Below are 19,587 nucleotides of genomic sequence, written 5' to 3'. Positions count from 1 at the left end.
TGGGTTTGTTTTTTTTTTTAACTTAGAATTTGTACTCTGACCAGCTGTGTACCCTTGGCTAAGTTATTATATATTTCTCATATTCAATTTCTGCATCTGTAAAATGGGGATAATAACAGAACTCATCTTGTGAGGTTGTTGGGAAAACTAGATTCAATGCTAGATTCTTACCCCTTATAAATTTCCTAAACACATATAATCATACCCTCAAAGTATATACATTTAGTGGAGCATCTGACGTTCAACCACCTATGAAATTCCCTTTATCTAGTTCATATCAACCTAACTTGCTGCTCATTAATTCAAAAACATCAATGACTCTTGCCAGAATAAAGATATTCTGGTAGCAAGAAAGACAAATGATCTTTGCCTGGATCTATTTTTAGGAATGGTTTAATTATCTACATCTTCAATGTTAACATTGGAAAATAAACAAACGGGTGAAAGGCATAAAGAGTCACTCTGAGATGAACAGTTTCACAGTGTTCAAAAATAAATGGGGATGAAGAAAACATTTAGATCATTTCTCTCACTAGATAGTCCTTACTGATGAAAGGTAGGCCAAAATTTGCAGAGGTTTAAGAGGAATTGCCAAGTCCATCAATTCAGGCTGTTCAGACCTACAAGGTTCAGAGAGTTTCCAGGTTTAAAATGCAACCAACCAGTGAGAAAACTGTAATTCAATAGCTGGTTTTCAGTGAATCACTACCTTATAGTGTCAAAAGAAATTTGTTTAGTTATATAGTTACTTCAGAAAACATTCAATAGTTTCTGCAATGAAATATATTTATATCTATATATTATTTATTCTCATCTAAATAGGGAAAAAACTGACCCTGATTCTCATGTCAGGCAAGAAAGGTATTATAGTTAATAATTACTACATCACCAGCTACCAGGTATTCATAATTATCTATGACAAGATTAAGGCTACAATTTAGAAAACTGCCAAAGAAACAGCTGAATATTTTGTTCCAATTACACTCCTGCTAAAATAAAGTCTGGTTATTGATTCATTTTCTCTCTAAGAAAAGCTCTGATGTGAATACGGGCACTTCAAACTCTAGTTACATAGATATTACACCATGCTATTTCCTTATTCATCCTAATCTATTAATGGAACATAATCTTACCGGAAAAGGAAAAATGTTGTCAGCCCTGTTCAAGCTATCTTCCATCCAGGATTTAGGTGCAAAGGCAGAGCTGGGGCGAGCATACTTCTGGAGCTGAATATGATTGCTTGCAAAATTTTTCTTCAAAGGCGAGATGGAGTTCAGGGGCGTTATTCCACCATTCAGCCCTCTGCGGTGATCTCGGCCTTGGGAACCTCCCCAGCCACCATATCCACCACCGCCCGGGCTCCAGGAAGAGGAGGGTGTTGGTGACGGACTCTGGTAGCTGCTCCACGGAGAGGGGGGTTTGTTAAGATTATTCGCCAAATGAGGCAGCTGGTTAAAAGCAGCATTTCTATGTGTGAAGGGTGGGGGATGGGGACTGGCAGGAGACCTCCTTTGCTGCTGATGCTGGCTGTGATGATGCTGGAAATGAGGGTGATGTGGGTGGTGCTGTGAGAGAGGCCCGATCTGAGGAGAGAAGCTGCCTCCAAAGCCAGGGCTGACATGATGGGGGAAATTTTGAAACAACAGAGCACCGTTATTAGCCGAAGCAGCAGGGACCCCTCCCTGGTGAAAGAAACTTGCATCTTCATTGATTATTGTAGAGGAGGAAGGCGCTATCGCTGCTGACCAGTTACTGAAACCAGTAAGAGACGATGCGCTAGATGTCAAGGGTTGGGTTGAAGTACCTAGCCCAGTGGCTTCTTGATAATCAAACCCTGTCAACACTGGAGATTCGATCCTTATTTTCTCCTTCCCATTGCCATTTTCCGAAGAATTGTCCCCTTGATTTTCTTCTGATTTTGCCTTCTCTGTTTCAGGCAGTATTCCAGCTTCCTGACCTGGACTTGGGGAAAGCTGCTGCTTTTCTAAGGGGTCTTGCTGTTCCTGTTGCTGACTTTTTGCTTTTTCTGACCCCAAGATCTCATCCTGAATGTTATGGGTAGCTGGAGCAGGAAAAAGCCAAGCTGACCCAGCACTGCTGCCATTGGCAGCTGTGTTATTATTTATAAAAGCAGCAGGGCTGGGGGTGGCATTTTGGTGATGGTGTGGAGGCTGCAGATGTGGATGGAATCTGACTGGAAAAGCAGATTTATTCCCAGTATTGCTTTGCACTAGCACTCCAAACCCGTAATCCCCCATTTATTATCTTTAGGAGCAGAATCTCACAATAAAAAATGACAACCTGATGTCTCACGCCTTTTTTTTCCTCTACCCCAAATTTAAGTTGTTTGCTTGCTTGCTTGAAATGTCTTATTTATAGCTAGCTCAAAGATCGCAGCTTATCACCTTAAATTGTTCTGATTTGGAATTCTGGTCTCTGAAAGAAAAAACAACTCTTAAAAAAATCTCTTAAAACATTGACTTGGATCCAATTGGGCTTATTTTTAGGAGGGAATAAAAATGAAGAGGGTAAAAATCAAGTCTTTGGTTAGTAAAATAGGCGCTTTCTTTTTCCAAAGGAAAATGTACATGAATGACAAAAACAGAGCTTCTCAAGCATCTATGGATGTAGAAGAATAAGCCTTGCGCGGAGTAAAAATATAGATATATATAATTTAACAATCACATATGGTTTTCCTCAGCAGTTTAGATTCACTCACATAAAAATTAGAATAGGACTAAGAGGGGAATACGTTCTTTTCTTGGCAGCTTGGTTAAAAAAAAATCAGGAATAATTTAAGAACATTATATATTATATATTTATATATATAGATTATATTAGGTTATCTGGGGTGGGAAGTGAATTCCTGGTTTCGGGAGAGGAAATCAGCATTGACTAATGGAAAGATGATTGCAGGGAGGTTTCTGCTGTTCCTGGTCCTGTTTTCTGCTCTTTCGCAGGGTGCAGTTTTGGCCTCTGGGGCTGTTCCTGAGGCTCCGGGTGCAGATCTTGCTGCGGTCGCTGTTCCTGGGCTCCCCGCGGCTTCCTCTCCCCCATGAAAGGGGTTGGAAACACCCGTTTCTCCCTCTTGCGGGGGTCGCGATCAGGAGGGATTAGCGAGACTCGACGAGGGTGAGCGGGCGGCCTGGGGGTGCGGGGACCGAGGGGGCGACCTGGAAGGTCCTGCGGTTTCTGCCTCTTCCCCTCTCTGCGGCTCCGGGGTTTTTTTCCCTCATGGGACCCAGGGGCGGTTTGTTCAGTTCCCTCAGTTCGATTCTCCGCAGAGAGGGAAAAAAGAGGAAAAAAAGGAAAAACCCACTACCGTAGTTATTTTAAAGGAGAAGGGCCTCCCCCCTCGGCTTTCTCTCTCTTTTCCCCCAGAATTTTTTTTTAAACTATAATTTAGAAGGCTTTTGTTTCTCCTCACGGTTGCTGGGCCGTCGCCGCCGTCGCCGCTTTACCCTGGTCCCGCAGTCCCCGCTGTCGTTGTTGAGGACTCCTCCTGGTTCTTCTTTTTCTTTCCTTCTTCCTCCTCTTCCTCCTCTGCTGTCGCCGCTGCTGCCGCCGCCGCCGCCGCCACCGCCTCCCGGTGCCCGGGTCCCGCAGCCGCGGCTGAGTCCTTCTCCTCAGGACCGAGCCGAGTGAAATGACAACCAGCTGGAAAGACCCAGAGACACTTCCGGTTCGAAGAGGGAGGGGTGGGGGTAGCACTCATTCCCCACCTACCTGCCGGAAGACCAATCATCTGTTAGAACTCAGGCGAGGCCACGCCCCCTCGCTTCAGAGCTACTCCCAGGAAGGTCGAAAAGTTACCTCCAGAGACGCCTCTTCCGTCTGCGCCTCGCCTAGTGAGGCCCGGCGCCTGGAACCCGCTTCCCCCACCCAGAGTGAGCGCAGCAGGTCGCCATCTTTTGTGTGGGCAAGGGACTCCTTTGATATTTCTCTTCCCTAACTGGGCTTTGCAGGAGGAGCAATAGGGACGTGTCAAGGAGAACGGATTCCTCGCTCACGAAGGCATACGGTCAAGGTGTTGGAGATCGAAGTGGCGGCCCGTGAAACCGCGGATGAATGAGAAGGGTGCCCACAGTAAAGGTGGTGCTCCAAGCATCACGTGCTCTGGCCCGAGCTCCGCCCCAGAGGGATCTGGAAGGGGAGGCGGGTCTTGCCAGCAGCTGTGCGGTGCCTAGAACTGCGTTTGCCCTTGCCCAGAATGTAGACCTCACGAGGGACTCTCCCTTAACCTTCCATTCGCTCACCCGCACCTCCCACTCTCCCATTCTGCTAGGCTCGCATCTGGTGCAGTCTCCCAGGTGCAGAGATGCAGCTGAGGCGTCTGTGGCTATGCCCCCGTATCATCCCGATCTAGTACACCTTACACGCAATACCAGAGGGAAAATTCCAAAACTAAAATTTTATCTTGACCCTCACATGCTCCGATTTCTTCTATGGTTGCCCATTATTTCGAAGATAAAGGCCAAACTTGTTAGTCTGGTATTCAAGCCTTTCTACCTAATGGGTGGTATATCTTAGTGCCTCTTCCCCCTCCAAACACACTCTCAATGCCTTTTTACATGTCCTTTCCACTCTTCTCCTTTGGTAAATTCCTATTTATTTCTAGGAATCAGTTCAAAAGCCACCAACAGCATCTTCTGAATTCTCTCTTATAAGCGTCCACGGCCCTGTGTACCTCTCGTGCTTGTTTCTCACACTATATTGTGATGGTTTATGTCTTCCAGACCTGTGCTGGACCGTGGGCTCTTTCAGGAGCAGACATTGTAGATAGGAGACATCAGTGAATGAATCCTGAAAACGTGAATGAACAAACCAGCAACAATGAAGTCTTCCCTGAGTGACAGCCCCCCAACCCACTGCCACCCCTTCCACCCGTCACCCACCCCCCACCCCTCACTCCTGTTTCCAAGTCTGAATTAATTATTTCCTTCCTTTTGCCATTTGGTTTGGAGCTCACATATCAGACTTTTCATTATGTTTGGTACTCAAGGGCTTTAATGTCCTGTTTATCTTTGTACATTCCCAACGCTATGACCACCATCAGGGCTTAGGATAATGCTTTGCTCTCAGCACAGCTTTAAATATGTTAAATAAGTGAGTATTTTCCTTTAGCAGGAAGAAAAATGAACAAAGAAATCAGGGTAGAGCCAGAAGTAACTGGCACAACTAGAGGGAAAAAAAAGATACCAAGATTAATGAAAAATAGTATGAACAAAGGTGGCTTCCATTTCATTTCCATAGCCTTCCTCTAATGGTCTCAACTTCTGCCTCAGTCTGTCAATCCTCCATCACTTCCGTGTAGAACACCTGAGGGCCTTCAATCGGTGATTTTATTCTCTTTCATTGTGCCATGAGCATGAGTCTTGTCTCTGTAACTCTACTATGGATTCTTTGAGCATAGAGATTGGGTCTTACCTGCTGTTTATTCCCTACAACTGGACATGCCTGGAAACTTAGCTGGTTCCGTCAGGTGTCTTTTCCGCCAGAATGGTTTCCTTGACTGGCCCTCTCTCTAATGTCTTGTAGATTGCTCTCTTTTAATTACTGCTGGTTGTCAGTGGGTTAGTTTCTTAAGGGCAGAGGTTGTGTCTGATTTATCTTTATGTCCCCAGTGGCCAGAAGAGGGTCTGGCACAGAGCAGACTCAAAACTCAGAACACATTTATTGAATGAACAAATGAATGTTCCATGCCCAGAAGATGGTTTAGGGTCCCTCAGAGCTACTAATTATCAGTGGCTAAAATGGCAGCCATGACTTGGAAAAAAGAGCACCTTTGGAACCAAACAGCCCTGAATTTGAATCCCAGCTCTGCTGCTTCCTAGCTGTGCAAAACTGGGCATCACCTCTATAAGCCCTTGGTTCCTTCTAGATAAAATGTGAATGATATTTCCTCTCTTGCTAAGTTTGTAAATTACATGGGATACATGTGAAGTGCTGGACTCCTAAAAAGTTTTATTAGTCCATTTTCACACTGCTATAAAGAAATGCCCAAGACTGGGTAATTTATAAAGGAAAGAGGTTTAATTGACTCACAGTTCCACGTGACTGGGGAAGCCTCAGGAAACTTACAATCATGCCGGAAGGCGAAGGGGAAGCAAGCACTTTCTTCACAAGGCGGCAGGAGAGACCAGAGTGAAAGAAGAACTGTCAAACACTTATAAAACCATCAGAGCTCATGAGAACTCACTATCAGGAGAACAGCATGGGGAAACTGCCCCCTTGATCCAATCACCTCCCTCTGTCTACACATAAGGATTACAATTTGAGATAAGAGTTGGGTGGGGACACAGAGCCAAACCATATCAGAGGTGATCAAAAATGTCACTTCCTTTGTAACACATTAAATGCAGGGAATTCCTTCACAAGTGTCTTTTGCCTAGAAGCAGCTGTGTGCACAAGGGAATCCAGGAACTTGTCTTGGTTGATAAAAGGTGGAGACGCCCAGGGCCACAGTCAGGTGCTGCCAAGTCGGGCTAATCTTTTAAGGCTAAGTCAGGTGTGGGCAGTAGATTGGGATGGTTTGCAGCTAGGATGATCACTAAGACATCAGACTCTTGCTTAGGGACTGGAAGTATGGAAGAAGGAAGGGGGAAATCTATTATTTTCTTTTCTTTTTTCTTTTTTTTTTTTGGCATCAGTTGCCTACTCAGGAACCCAGGATACCCAGAGCCCAGGGCTGCGCTCCTTGAAAACATTCTGGCCTCAGAAACTTCCCATGGTAACCATGACAACAATTCAGCAGCTCCATTTAGGATCTCCAAAAGGATCTACAGATGTAGGTGAGTGCTGGCTTGAGCACTCTGCTGGCAGAAGAGAGCCTTTTTCATGAAGTGTGCTCACCAGAAAGTTTTTGGGTTGCAGGGGAAGCAAGTTCTGCCCAAACATTAAGGTGCTACTAGTTAAAAAAAAAAAAAAATTAAAAAGCTCTATCCCTGTCTAGTACAATGAGGGCTAACACACCTTCAGAGAAGTTGTAGGCTGGGGAATGCCTGTAACCTGGTAGCTACTGCCCAGCCCCCTCTGGGGTTTGAGGTCAACCACACCCAGAACCTAGAGCCTTCCAGGAAGCAGGGCATTAATATCTCCTTCACCAGCCTCTTTTAAAGCTCGGCAAGCAGTAGAAATCTCACCCCATAATCACACAAGGTGAACTCTGCCCCAGTCCAGCTCTAATGTCTCCCACCACTTTCCTTGAAGCATGCATTGTCAGCCTTCTCCCAATAGCCCACACCCGAGCTCCCCAGAGGCTTGTCTAATGACCAAAAATCAGGACCACTACCCAAGGCTGCCCTGGTTGTGCACTGTGCAACTTCATAAGGCACCACAGACTAGTATGTGAATGCATCCAATGGAGTTGTACAAGGCAGCAGCCCTGTTTCAGTTCTTTTTTTCTAAGACACAGGGGCACATTATACAAATATGACACACATACAAAAAAAGCTCATTACATGAGCCATGCTTATTGCCTGCAGAAATATTTAAAGCACTTGATCCTTTTAGAGTTAGCAGCCCAGGAACTTTCTGTAATTGAATTGAAGGACACTGTGTCCTTGGTATTGGTTTTGGTTAGTGAGCTGTAGTGAGAAGACAAGTCTGGACAAGTATATGGTCCAGGCCTCCAAGAGATTAATACCCAGCAGTTACTTTGCCTGGCAACGTTAATAAGCATTCTGATGTAGTGGTGGAATATATGTTTTAATGAAACTAAAAATAATAATAATAATAATATTCAAAGGCAGGGCCTGTGAAGGTAGGGGAAGAAAGAAAGGTGAAATTACCTTTGGAATATCCTCTTCTCCAAGAGTGCCTGGAAGCTCACTACCATAAGGCAAGCTTGATAGAAACAAAACCAAGTCATGAAAGCAGGTTTCGTTAAACCCCACTTCTGATCTTCACTCTCTTTCAGTGTTGGAAAGAATGCATATTTACTTAGAAAGAACCGATTTTTTTTTTTTAACTAATGCTGGGTCGTGTTTTCTTCTTTTATTGGTTGTTTTGCAACCTGTTCAAGCCCTCTGCATTTTAAACATGATTTTCTTCCTGCCTTCCCATTTGAGGTATTATCATTAACATAGAGTGAATAGTTAACAAGCCATTTTGATAGTGAGTGGTGAAGCCAATCCCTCCAGTGCATTGTTATTGGATAAATGGTTTGGAAAGGTCCAGGACACAGATATGCTTCACTTGAAATTGTCGTATCCTGGCAAAGATTTAGGTGAGCTAGAACAGAGGATTGACCTTCCAAACTGTGACATGCATCACTTTGGGATGAGTTGGATTCTTTTGTGGCTCCAGTCACCTATGTGGCCAGGCTGCTGACCTAGATTACCCTTTGCTGTTTTGATTGGACACACTTCGCTTCATCTATCAAAACTGGCCATGCTGCTGAACAGCTGCCCTGTAACACTTTGTGGCTAGGCTGGAGGATTTTCACTTGCAATGCTGGGAAAAAAGTAACTTTTCAGAGGTTGCAGGGAAGCTGCAGGGTCCAGAGGTCGGAGAGCTGGGAGTCAGGGATCAAAATTCTAACCCCAACATAGCCATAAGCTCACAGGCACTGGTCCAGTTTGTCTGATGATTTCCTTATGGGCAGAATTTGAACTACAAAGAGTTTCAATTCCAAACCCTTAAGCAAAAAAAGTGCAAAGAAAGTCATCAATATGTGTAAAAACAAAAAACAAAATAATCTTTTTAATACCCAAATTTCTTACTCCCTTGTTCATGGAGTATATATATATAACTATAAAACAATAATATGAGTTAATTCCTAGGCACCCAACCTCAAATTTTAGAGTTCATCAGTTCCCAGGGGAGGTCATCACATGCAGATTCCTAGGCCCTGCCCCCAAATATTCTGATTTGGCTTTCTCATAGTATTTTTTAATAAAAGTATAAGGTACAAGGGATTTTCTAGTAATAATGTAGGAGCAGAGAAAGTCAAAAATAAAAATGGCTAGAATAAAATAGTTCCTTTCTCACATAAAAGAAGTTTAGAAGAGTTAACATAGAGCTAGTGGGTGGTTTCAATGAGTCATCAGAAACCCAGCTTCCTTCTAACTCATTGCTCTTCTCTCCTCCAAGTGTGATTTCTCCCTCATGATACAAGATGGCTGATCAAGCTCCAGCCATCATGTCTGCATTCCAGACCAAAGGACAGAGGAAAAGATGAAAAAGGACAGAACTCTTCTCTTTGAGGAAACTTTTCAGATGACACACACATTACTTCCATTCTCTGCACATTGGTCATAACTTAGTCACATACCTGGTGGCCAAAGAGATTGGAAAGTATGATCTTTATTCTGGACTCCCAAGTACTTAGTTAAAAATTGGGGTTCTATTACTAAAGAAGAAGGGGGAGATGGTAATTTAGGGGTGAAGTACTGAGACCCAGTGAGGTTTGGTGACTTACTGGAGATCTTATAGCCCAGTCAATCCTTCATTTTGCAACTGAGGAAACTGAGGCCCAAGGAAAGGCCTTGTCTAAAATAATCCAAATTTTTTTCTCCAGGTATCTTGACTCAGAATTCTGTCTCCTGCCCAGTGGTCCTTGAATTTTATCATGCATCGGCATCACCTAGAGAACTAGTTAAACCAGACTAGAATTTCTCATTCAATAAGTATGGGTGGCGCCAAGAATTTGCATTTCTAGCAATTTGCCAGGCTATGCTGATGGTTTGGTGAACACACTTTGAGAACCAGTGGTCTACAGCACCGTCTGGGTTTAATGAGAGGCTGTCAATTCAATGTGGCCAACTGTACCCATCACCCTCCCTCTAGCCCTAGTCCTCCTCCGATTTTCTCTAGCTCATTTAATGGTGCCATGATTCATTCTTTCGGTTACCTAAGCCAAACTTTGGAATCATCCCAAACTCCTCCCTCTCCCTCTCCATCCTTTTATTCTTGGTCCCTAAGTTTTCCTCCCTTTCTCTCCTTAGCATCTCCTTTTCTCCCTATCTCCTGCTTTGGTTCAAGTCTGATCATTTCTCATCTGAAATTTGTTTGGTTTTTTTTTTCAAAAGTCATTTTCAGGCTTAATGCCTGGCCTTGTCCACTAAATCTTTGTAAATGGGGAGTCTAATTACATTACTCCATTGCTTAAACACTTTGAGTGGCTCCCTGATGTACTCAACTGTATTTTTCAAACTTCAGTGTTTTTCATTACAGCGTTGCAGTTTTTGCCATGTAGGTGTAGCTCCTGCACTATCACTTATTTAATATTTTTCAGTAAGTTGACTTACTTTAAAAAAATTTAAATAAGTATACATTCAAGGAAACTTGATTCACCAACCAAAATGAAAAACAAGTACCACTTGCTATAACCAAAAGGTAATTATCAAAATTCTTTATCTTTGTTGAAAAGGAAGATTAATAAGGTTAGAGAGAGTAAAGACTTCCTAAGCCAATTTTTTTTTCCTTTTTTTTTAACAGACAGGGTCTCTCTCTGTCACCTAGAGAAAGTACAATGGCTCTCTCACCTTGTCTCACTGCAGCCTCCCCTTCCTGGGCTCAAGCCATCCTCTCACCTCAACCTCCTGAGTAGCTGGGACCACAGGTGTGCATCACCATGCCTGGCTAATAATTTTTTAAATTTTTTGTAGAGGCAGAGTCTCACCATATTGCCCAGGCTGGTCTCGAACTCCTGGGCTCAAGTGATCCTTCCACCTTGGCCTCCCAAAGTGTTGGGATTATAGACGTGAGCCACCTAGGCCAATTTTGAAAGATCTTCTTTATGTAATTAGAAGGACTGAAAGAGAATGGGAACAGAGCTAAATGTCTGGTTGTGTGATTCAAGATTATGCATTGCCTTATATGTGTGCTGCCTCCAGTCATCTGATGTATCCCACTGGGAAAGGACCCATTGCCTGGAAAGCACTGCTAAACTCCTTTAATGTGGCATCAGGGCCCTCAACAGCCTGGCACCTGCTTGACGTCTCAGCATCATCCCTTGCAACCCTTTAAGAGCATTGCTTCAAGCACCCTGAAAAACTTGTGTTTCCACAAACTTGCAATAAGTCATGAATGCTATTTGCAGCAAGTAACACAGTGCCTTAAACAATTGGAGGTTACTTCTCTCACACATCAAGAAGGCTGGAGTGGGTGGTTGCTGGTGCTGGAAGGCTAGTGATGTCAGGGATCTGGGTTGGAATCTCTAGACGTTTTTGGTCTTCCCTCCAAGGTCTTAAGAAATCTGCCACAGTCCCTGTCATCACACAGGCATTCAGAAGCTAGAGGGAAAGGGCTGCAAAGAGCCTAGAGTTTCTCATCATGAACATTCCTCTGATCAGATAGGAAAGGCCTTTTCCACTTGCTCACTCCCTATTACATCTTTTTGGTCAGAGCTGGGTCACATTCCTTGATCTAGATCAGACATGGACCCACCTTCCCTGAGACCAAAGGAGCTCAACCTGAAACATAAACAAAATCAGGACTCAGCTAGCAAAGGAGGAGGGAAAGGCTCTGGAGGAATCAACAAGTGTCTCACATGCCCACCATAAAATTACCGTAGGTCTCGCCTGCTTTGTTTGCCCGGGGAGCTTCTACTAAGCATGCATGGCCTTCTCTGCCCTTGGAGCAGAAGTGAGTGTCTTCTCCTAGTTGGCATGGACACTTAGCGGCATAATTGACAATTATGGAATTGACCATTTAGAGCCTACCTACTGGAGTTGCTCCTCCAGGTCAGGGACTCTTCTTTTCTCCTTGGTGTTCCCTGGGCCCAGCATTTTGTCCAGCACATAGTAAGCGTTTAATGAGTGTTTGTTGAATTAAGGCTGAATTAATTAATTTGTTTCTTCTATGCAAGTCACAAACAAAGTCCAAATACTAAATGTTAGGATGAATTACAAGCGTGCTTTGGAACATTTTACAAACAGTGCTCTCTATTTCATTGCTGTTTTGTGTTGTTTTGGAGGAAAATATAGCAATTTCCTAAGAGCATATGTGAAGTTACTGTTAGCATAAAACTTCTACCACACTGCTGATCTTACAGCAAATCAGTCACTGTAAATCCTGGAGAGTGATTTTATAAACTTAGTAAACCATTTCCATCTTGTGTGAAACACATTATATGGGTAATAGCTTCATTTGGCCGAGTCATCTTAGGTACAGTTCCACGATTGCATTAAGCTAGTTTTTATTGATGTACCCTCAATGTTAAACAGCTTCTTAATGAAGTGGATTGCCTTGAAGCCTTTGGATAGTGCATGCACACACACACACACACACACACATAAAGTTATCACCACCCAAAACAACTGCTGAGGCAGTAACGATGTAATATTAATGAGTAATATCACATACAATTGGATGTGCTAGTTTCTAATGTTGTTGAGTTGATTCTCAGTAATGGGCTTCTTGAAATCACCTGGCCCCCAAAGAAGTACCTTCAGATTCAGCAGCCCATGTAAAATATAATAAGTGCATAAATAATTTATCAAGGGAAATAGGTAGCATTATGGCCACAATTCGGTGCTGCTGTTATTTAAAAGCCTGGCAGCTTGGTAGTTAGAAACCACTATGTCCAGGGGTGTTGTAATTCACCATTTGCTCAGAGTTCAAATGAGACAGAAGAGAGCTCCAGGCCCCTGGCTCATTTTTTATTTAGAGGCAATTTTTAAAAATCCATTCAGCCATTTAAATTCCAAAAATAGAAACAGGAAAAAGAAATAAACATGCTTCAAAGTTAGCAATTTAGAGACTGCTTGGAGTCTTCATTAGGCAGGGTCTGGAATATTTTTTTTAAGCAACATTCTACAAACTTGGAAATGCAAGTTCCAAGTGAGAGTGGTGAGAGTTTAATTATTAGTTTCATTGTGTGTGTGTTTCTTTTAAACCCATATATGGTGGTTTCTGAGGCAGTATTTTTCAAATCCTAGTCCTTTGTATATACTTGATACATAATTTGTATTGTATTATTGTACTACATATCGTATTTATTATTCATTCAACATTGTTTGTAAATGGACTCAATATTTTAGAACTTAAGTAAATAAGTTAAAAGGAAAATTCCGTATTACTAATGTAAATGAAAAATCAATATGATATGCCATAAGAAGTTACTGTTATTTATTTTTCCTAATATACACTGAAATAAATGCATATTGAGTGGAACAAATGTCTAGAAATCAAAATAAGAGACAGTTCCTCTGTGTACTATCCAAAAGAGCTCAAGGACATTTAGGGAGGCACCGACTTCCTGGTTAAGAACACAGACCTTTCAGAGCAGGCAGGATTGGCTCAAGTCCCACCTCTCCCATTTGCCAGCTGAGAGACTTGTGAGCAGGTCTTTTTGTCTTTCTGAACCTCAGATTCAGCATCTGGAAAATGAGGATAACATTTTTTGAGCAGTTAGTTGAAAGGATTATACGAGGTAATATGTATAAAGCTCTTAGCATCGTACCTAGCCTATAGCAAATGTCCAAGAACTATCATCTATAATTATTATTCATATCTGACTGGGGAGATGTGGGTCATCGTGGAGAACAAAACACCAATGAATTCAGTTCCAGAACAAACAAAATGTACTAGGTGTCTACCACATGACAGGCTCAGTGATAGGCCCTGGGGACATGGAGATAATTTTCAAAGTAACAGCCATGTAAGGAGATAATGGCATTTAAGCAGCCATGTAAAGAGATACGAGCAGTGCAGTGAGAGCTTTGTGCCCAGGTTAAGATGGAAGGTCAGAGAGAAGAGCATGATCAAAGTCAGCATCAGGGAAGAAAAATGTGTAGATCCATACATCAGGTCTTTTCTGATGGCTTATGGGGACAGACATCGGTACTGGAAGGTGCCAGGTAAATTGGAATTCTGCTGGGGAACAAGATATGCATGAAATTCAAACATATATACAGCCATGGAGACAACATCATTTACTTATGGGCTCAAGTGACATTAATGAGTTGGAGAATATCATTTTCAAAACTAAACGGTGGTCAAGCAACATGTAAACAGAAGTTTGGTTTGCTTTCCTTCATAGAAGTCACAGGCAGGTGGTTCACAGATATTTTTAGTTTGGCCAGCGGAGTAATTTACGTTTTTATTCTTATTACCTGCTAACATGTAAAAATTATGAAACTTCATAGGAAAATCCAGATTTGTGTCTTTTCTTCAAAAAGTATAAGATGTGGCCATCTGGATGTGTGTTCCTACATATGATAATTTGGGGCTGGAGTTGAGCAGCTGCTGCTGTTGTAAGATGGGGCGTTTGCTCTCCAATTCGCCATGGTCTCTACCCAGTCTTTGGTGTTGACCAAAGGCCCAGAGAAGTGGGGCCCCTGCCCTTGGCCTGCTTTCGAGGGTCTACCCTGGCCCTTCTCCATGCTGCAAGAAGTCTGAGGAGCCAATAGATGCCTGCATTGCCTCTTCTAGACCATACTGCAGGTACCAAGAGACCCTGAATGCCCAGCCCAAATTACCCGAGCCTGCTTCTGGAGCCAGCAGAGACCTCTTTTCTTAGTTAATTCACCCAGCACTGCCAGGGTGCACACCCTGGGACCCAAGGGGTGGCAATGAAAAGCTGTTTTTTTATTATTATTATTTGGTGAGGAAGAGGATGATGCTTGTATGTGCAGGCCAGAGTGTCCACCCACCTGCGCAAAGCCCCCTGCTGTATGAAATGGAGTCAGATATGAGAAGAGAAGAAGAGCAGGTGTTGAAGAGGGAGGACTCTGGACTGGGGACCAGTTTTTCCTAAGTCATCATCTTCAGGCAAGGGAGAACTCTAAATTTGAACCTGGCCTTCCAGGTGGTTATAAAGGTATATTTGTCAAGATAAGAGATTAGAAGTTACTTAAATTTGGCTGGGAACAGTGGCTCACGCCTGTAATCCCAGTACTTTGAGAGGCCGAGGTGGGCAGATCACCTGAGGTCGGGAGTTCGAGACCAGCCTGACCAACATAGAGGACCCTGTCTCTACTAAAAATACAAAATTAGCTGGGCATGGTGGTGCATGCCTATAATCCCAGCTACTTGGGAGGCTGAGGCAGGAGAATTGCTTGCACCCGGGAGACGGAGATTGCAGTGAGCCGAGATCGCACCATTGCACTCCAGCCCGGGCAACAAGAGCGAAACTCCATATTAAAAAAAAAAATTAAATTAAATTTGATAACTTGATTTAGAGCTTGTGAGTATCTAGATTATGTTGAGTGGGCTTCCATTTATATTCTTTCCCTGGACCTGCAAATATTAGGAAATATTGGGAATGGGCCTGTTGGTGGATTTCACTGCTTTCCCCTTGCTGCCTGGCCCCTGTTGATATTTGAGTTTGTGGCTTTTACTAAATTATGAGCTTCCTGAGGGTGAGAAGAACACTTGACTTGTTTAGCACTATATCCCCTTCACCCAATACAGTCCTGAATGAGTGACTATCTAATCTGAGAGTTGATATTTTTGACTAGTTCTCTTGCAATTATTTTATCCTGTCATATATGTATGCAAATCACAGAGTATTTAAAATTTTCTCCTTAGAAGCTTGATTAATTGCTGAAAAATTTTTTGGTTATTTCTATTTACGGCTGGGCACGGTGGCTCAAGCCTATAAATCCTAGCACTTTGGGAGGCCAAGGCAGGTGAATTGCTTGAGCCCAGGAGTTCAAGACCAGCTTGGGCAACACAGCAAAACCCAGTCTCTACAAAAAATACAAAAATTAGCTGGGCATGGTGGTGTGCCTGTAGTTCCAGCTACTCAGGTGGCTGAAGTGGGAGGATCATTTGCACCCTGGAGGTTGAGGCTGCAGTGAGCCGTGATCGCACCCCTGCACTCCAGCCTGAGTGACACAGTGAGACTCTGTCTCCAAAAAAATAGAAAATTAATAAAAAATGAATTTATGTTCATGGTAAAATAATCAGAAAAGTTTTTAAAAAAGAAGAAGAAAAGAAATTTGCACAGCATCCCAACCCCATTGGAGCAACCATTATTAACATTTTGATATATTTATTTCCAGTCTTTTTTTCATACATTTCTTTTCATAGTTGAGATTCTACCCAGAGATTTATGACAATACAATCACCATATTCTAAGTATTTGAGTGGCTTTCTTGCTGCTGTTTATCATTCCCTGGGATGCATTTTAAAAAATCAATTGCATAAAAAGCTTCTAGATTTCATGAAGAAATATTGAAGCAAGAAGTGGTATAAACACTTTCCAGAGGAGAATGTGGTTCTCAATTTTTGTACGTGTGAGAGTTCGTGATTTACTTTACTCACCAACTGTTTATCATTTTTATTAAGATCATGGTCACCATAAAGGGTCAATTATTAGCCATCTAATGTTTTTGCAGCCTTTTTTCTGTGAAGCTCTCTACGAAAAAAGCTGCATGTGGTTGGTCCCTTCTCTTTGGAAACCGACAGACTGCCATTCGAGCACATTTGTCATTCAGTCAGTGGTCCATATTTATCAGTTGACACCCAAATGCTGCACCATTGAAAGCCCAAGACTGTCCATTTTAACGGGGTAGAGATGACTAAATTCCAAATTGCAGTAAGCATGACAAGCCAATAAATAAGGGTGCCATGGGGACACTGAAGAGAGGTTGCTTTACACAGCCTGCACTCTAGGGAGGGCTTCCAAGAAGAGGGGACATGTGAGCTCTATCTGGAAAGATGAGCAGGGTCTTGGCAGGTGCTGAAGGGAACCAGGTGTCAGGTTGGGGCTCTGAAAGGGTGGGGCTGGGTGAAGGGGAAAGTGCCTAACCTGCATTCATTGACTGTGTACTGCAGGTGAGTGGGCCACCCTGGGCCCAGAGCAGATGGAGATGGAGGGAATGAATGAAGACATGAAAAGACCTTTGGGTGACATCCTACATAATAGAACACTTTAGAATTACATCCTTGATAATTAAGCCCAAATCCACAACATTCTAGAATATTCCTAATAAAAGTAATTTAAAATGTCCTCTACAACTTGGATTCTTTTTTTTTTTTTTTTTTTTTTTTGAGATGGAATTTCGCTATGTTGCCCAGGCTGGAGTGCAGTGGCGTGATCTCGGCTCACTGCAATCTCCCCCTCCTGGGTTCAAGCAATCCTCCTGCCTCAGCCTCCTGAGCAGCTGGGATTACAGGCACACACCACCATACCTGGCTAATTTTTGTATTTTTAGAAGAGACGGGGTTTTACCATGTTGGCCAGGCTGGTCTCGAACTCCTGACCTGAAGTGATCTGCCCGCCTCAGCCTCCCAAAGTGCTGGGATTACAAGTGTGAGCCACCATGCCCAGCCTAATTTGGCATCTATTAAAATTAAAAGTGTGCATATCCCATGACCCAGTAATTATACCATTTGATTTCAAGTAGAGAAAAATCTTGTTCAAATCGCTTGTGTAAAAGTGTTTATATTGCATCACTATTTGTAAACATGAAAAAATTGGGAGGATCCAAATATGTAGCCTATATGTAGCCCATGGAAACATATGGAAAGTTAGACAGCATGAGGTAGATTTATATGCACAAAGGAAGAGCTCCAAGACAGACAGCTGAAGGCAATAAACAAGTCACATAATACCTATACATTATGACACCATTTATGTAAAAAATTCACACACAAAAATACTACATTTTCTACGGTTATAGAAGTATGCAAGTTTTTAATACTTTATAGGTAATGCAATTTTATGTAAGAACACAGATAACTAAATAAATGCATTGTTAGAGGACATTTGTTAAGCTGAAAACTGTGGCTACCTCAGGGATTGGAGGGGGTGGTTAAAAGAGACTTAGGCCTTACTTTCTTAAATTTTGTACAAGGAGAGTGTATTCCTGTGAATTACTTGTGCAATTAAAGACTAAATAAGATAGTGAAAATGTTCTAACTTTCAGGATAAATCAATACCACCTATTTGGAAACAAATCAAGCAACATGAAACAAGATACTCTCAGATGTTCCTACCCTGTGGCCCATTAGTTTTCCTTTTAGGACTCCATCCAAAGGAAATAACCCCAGAGAGTTGCAAAGATTTTCACAGAAAGATGTTCAATGCAGTATTATTTATAATGGGGAAAAAATTGGCCATTTGAAATGTTCAATAATGGGTGAAAGCTTAGGTAGTAAGATTACATAGTAGAATGCTGGTTACCCACTAAAAGCTTGCTGTGGAAGAATTTTTATTAACTTGTGAAAAGGTTAACAAAATAGTATTAAGTCAAAATATAAAAATATGAATGCAGTATGATCTCCGATATGATGTAAGTACAAATGCCCATGGGGTTATGGGAAGGGATCCAGGAGAGCCATTTGACCAGGTCTTATGTTCACTAATTGAGACTTTGGACGTGACCTGTAAATGCAGTTATACAATAATCACAGGAATACTCTAAACACTGTCACACACAGTCACAGATACACTGTTGTAAGAGTCACATGATAAATGGCAAGAGTATATCTGTGCACAATATATCAAGAATATACACATTTAAAATACGGCACAATGGTTTTCATTCTGTTTTAGTATTGCTTCACACTCAGAGCTTCACAAATAGAGGAAGCCCAGGTCACTCTCCCTCTTGGAGAAGACCTGTTCTGCCACAGGCACAAGGGGCCAGAAGCAAACACCCCAAATGTCAGTGTGCATGCGGGTAGTCTCATGCTAGTGGGATTATAGATTGAATTTTAATGGATAGTTTTCTGCTTTTTCTAAATCTTCTACAATGAGCATGTGTATTTCTTTCAGAATGTAAAAAGAGCTTCTACAGTGAAAAAAAAAAAAAAAAACAGAAGAGGAAACGTCCTCCTTTAAAACACAAAAGCAGCGCCTGGCTCTAGAATGTGCCACATCAGGATGTGTCTGGGTGGAGACCTCAGCAGGCTGGCACCAGGGCTGGACAGAAAAAATACAGCTGGACCCTACTCCAGCGTGTCACAGAAAGGCCAGTGGCGACGCCTGCCCCACGTTGCCCTTCTAGGTGAGTCCAGAGCAGTGCTGTTGGCCAGAGGGGCAAGATGATTCAGGTTCAAAGCTGGGCCGAATCAGAGGGGCAAGACGAGTAAGGTTCAAAGCTGAGCCGAATCAGAGGGGCAAGAGGATTCAGGTTCAAAGCTGGGCCGAATGTTTGCAGGGGTCTGGGAGACAACCCAGGCTCCTGACAGGCTGCATGAACCTGAGGCCCTGGCTCAGTGGCTCTAAACCAGCGTGTGTGACAGCTCAGAGGCAAGGAGGAACCACACATTTGCAGGGGCAAATGGGATAACCAGTTTAGGCTGGTAAATAAATCCCTTTATCAAGGGACTTCAGAACAGAGGACTTATTTGCATGGTAGACAAGCTGCACATGGATGATGGGCGCAATAGAGTAAGATACAAGAATCACTAGATTATGGTGGAATCTCTTATTAATGGAGTTGGGCCTCTGGGAGCGTGTGTGTGTGTGTGTGTGTGTGTGTGTGTGTGTGTGTGTGTGTGTCTGTGTGTGTGTGTGTGATAACCCCTTCCAACCACCACTCTCCGCCCCTACCCCCATGCTTTTTCTTCCCACTAACAAAGCGGGTGTAACTGGTTCCATCAGCAGAGCAAACACAAGGCCTTTGGTTTTTCTCCTTGTGAGGAAATCACTCCTGCCTCCTCACCGGAGAAGCACAAACGCTGATG

General features: G+C 42.9%; 1 protein-coding gene across 3 annotated transcripts in view, besides 6 other annotated features; it reads right to left on the bottom strand.

The window, feature by feature from the left end:
• CPEB4 (cytoplasmic polyadenylation element binding protein 4) overlaps positions 1-3,643 on the bottom strand; it is a 73,632-nt gene extending 69,989 nt beyond the window's left edge. For all 3 annotated transcript variants that reach the window (NM_030627.4, NM_001308189.2, NM_001308191.2), the window contains exon 1: positions 1,134-3,643. In NM_030627.4, coding sequence (NP_085130.2) covers positions 1,134-2,258 — 1,125 coding nt within the window. In that variant the 5' untranslated portion in view covers positions 2,259-3,643. The remainder of the gene's footprint in view (positions 1-1,133) is intronic.
• Positions 871-1,370: an enhancer, noted in NCBI's record as "H3K4me1 hESC enhancer chr5:173317625-173318124 (GRCh37/hg19 assembly coordinates)". NCBI's record gives its function as "activates a minimal SCP1, AML or CMV promoter by ChIP-STARR-seq in primed H9 embryonic stem cells {active_cell/tissue: H9 hESC(primed)}" and the evidence as "EXISTENCE:reporter gene assay evidence [ECO:0000049][PMID:30033119]".
• Positions 1,072-1,366: a silencer, noted in NCBI's record as "tiled region #13797; K562 Repressive non-DNase unmatched - State 1:Tss". NCBI's record gives its function as "represses a minimal TATA promoter and a strong SV40 promoter by Sharpr-MPRA in K562 cells {active_cell/tissue: K562}" and the evidence as "EXISTENCE:reporter gene assay evidence [ECO:0000049][PMID:27701403]".
• Positions 1,371-1,872: an enhancer, noted in NCBI's record as "H3K4me1 hESC enhancer chr5:173317123-173317624 (GRCh37/hg19 assembly coordinates)". NCBI's record gives its function as "activates a minimal SCP1, AML or CMV promoter by ChIP-STARR-seq in naive H9 embryonic stem cells {active_cell/tissue: H9 hESC(naive)}" and the evidence as "EXISTENCE:reporter gene assay evidence [ECO:0000049][PMID:30033119]".
• Positions 3,897-4,136: an enhancer, noted in NCBI's record as "active region_23669". NCBI's record gives its function as "activates an Ori minimal core promoter by ATAC-STARR-seq in GM12878 lymphoblastoid cells {active_cell/tissue: GM12878}" and the evidence as "EXISTENCE:reporter gene assay evidence [ECO:0000049][PMID:35858748]".
• Positions 7,103-7,352: an enhancer, noted in NCBI's record as "active region_23668". NCBI's record gives its function as "activates an Ori minimal core promoter by ATAC-STARR-seq in GM12878 lymphoblastoid cells {active_cell/tissue: GM12878}" and the evidence as "EXISTENCE:reporter gene assay evidence [ECO:0000049][PMID:35858748]".
• Positions 16,918-17,076: a silencer, noted in NCBI's record as "fragment chr5:173301919-173302077 (GRCh37/hg19 assembly coordinates)". NCBI's record gives its function as "represses an EF-1alpha promoter that drives an FKBP-Casp9 reporter gene in an ReSE screen in K562 erythroleukemia cells {active_cell/tissue: K562}" and the evidence as "EXISTENCE:reporter gene assay evidence [ECO:0000049][PMID:32094911]".

Source organism: Homo sapiens, chromosome 5 (assembly GCF_000001405.40).
Source record: "Homo sapiens chromosome 5, GRCh38.p14 Primary Assembly".
In the NCBI taxonomy this organism is placed as follows: domain Eukaryota; kingdom Metazoa; phylum Chordata; class Mammalia; order Primates; family Hominidae; genus Homo; species Homo sapiens.
Note: the sequence above shows the minus strand (reverse complement) of the source record. Positions and strands in the feature narration are given on the sequence as shown.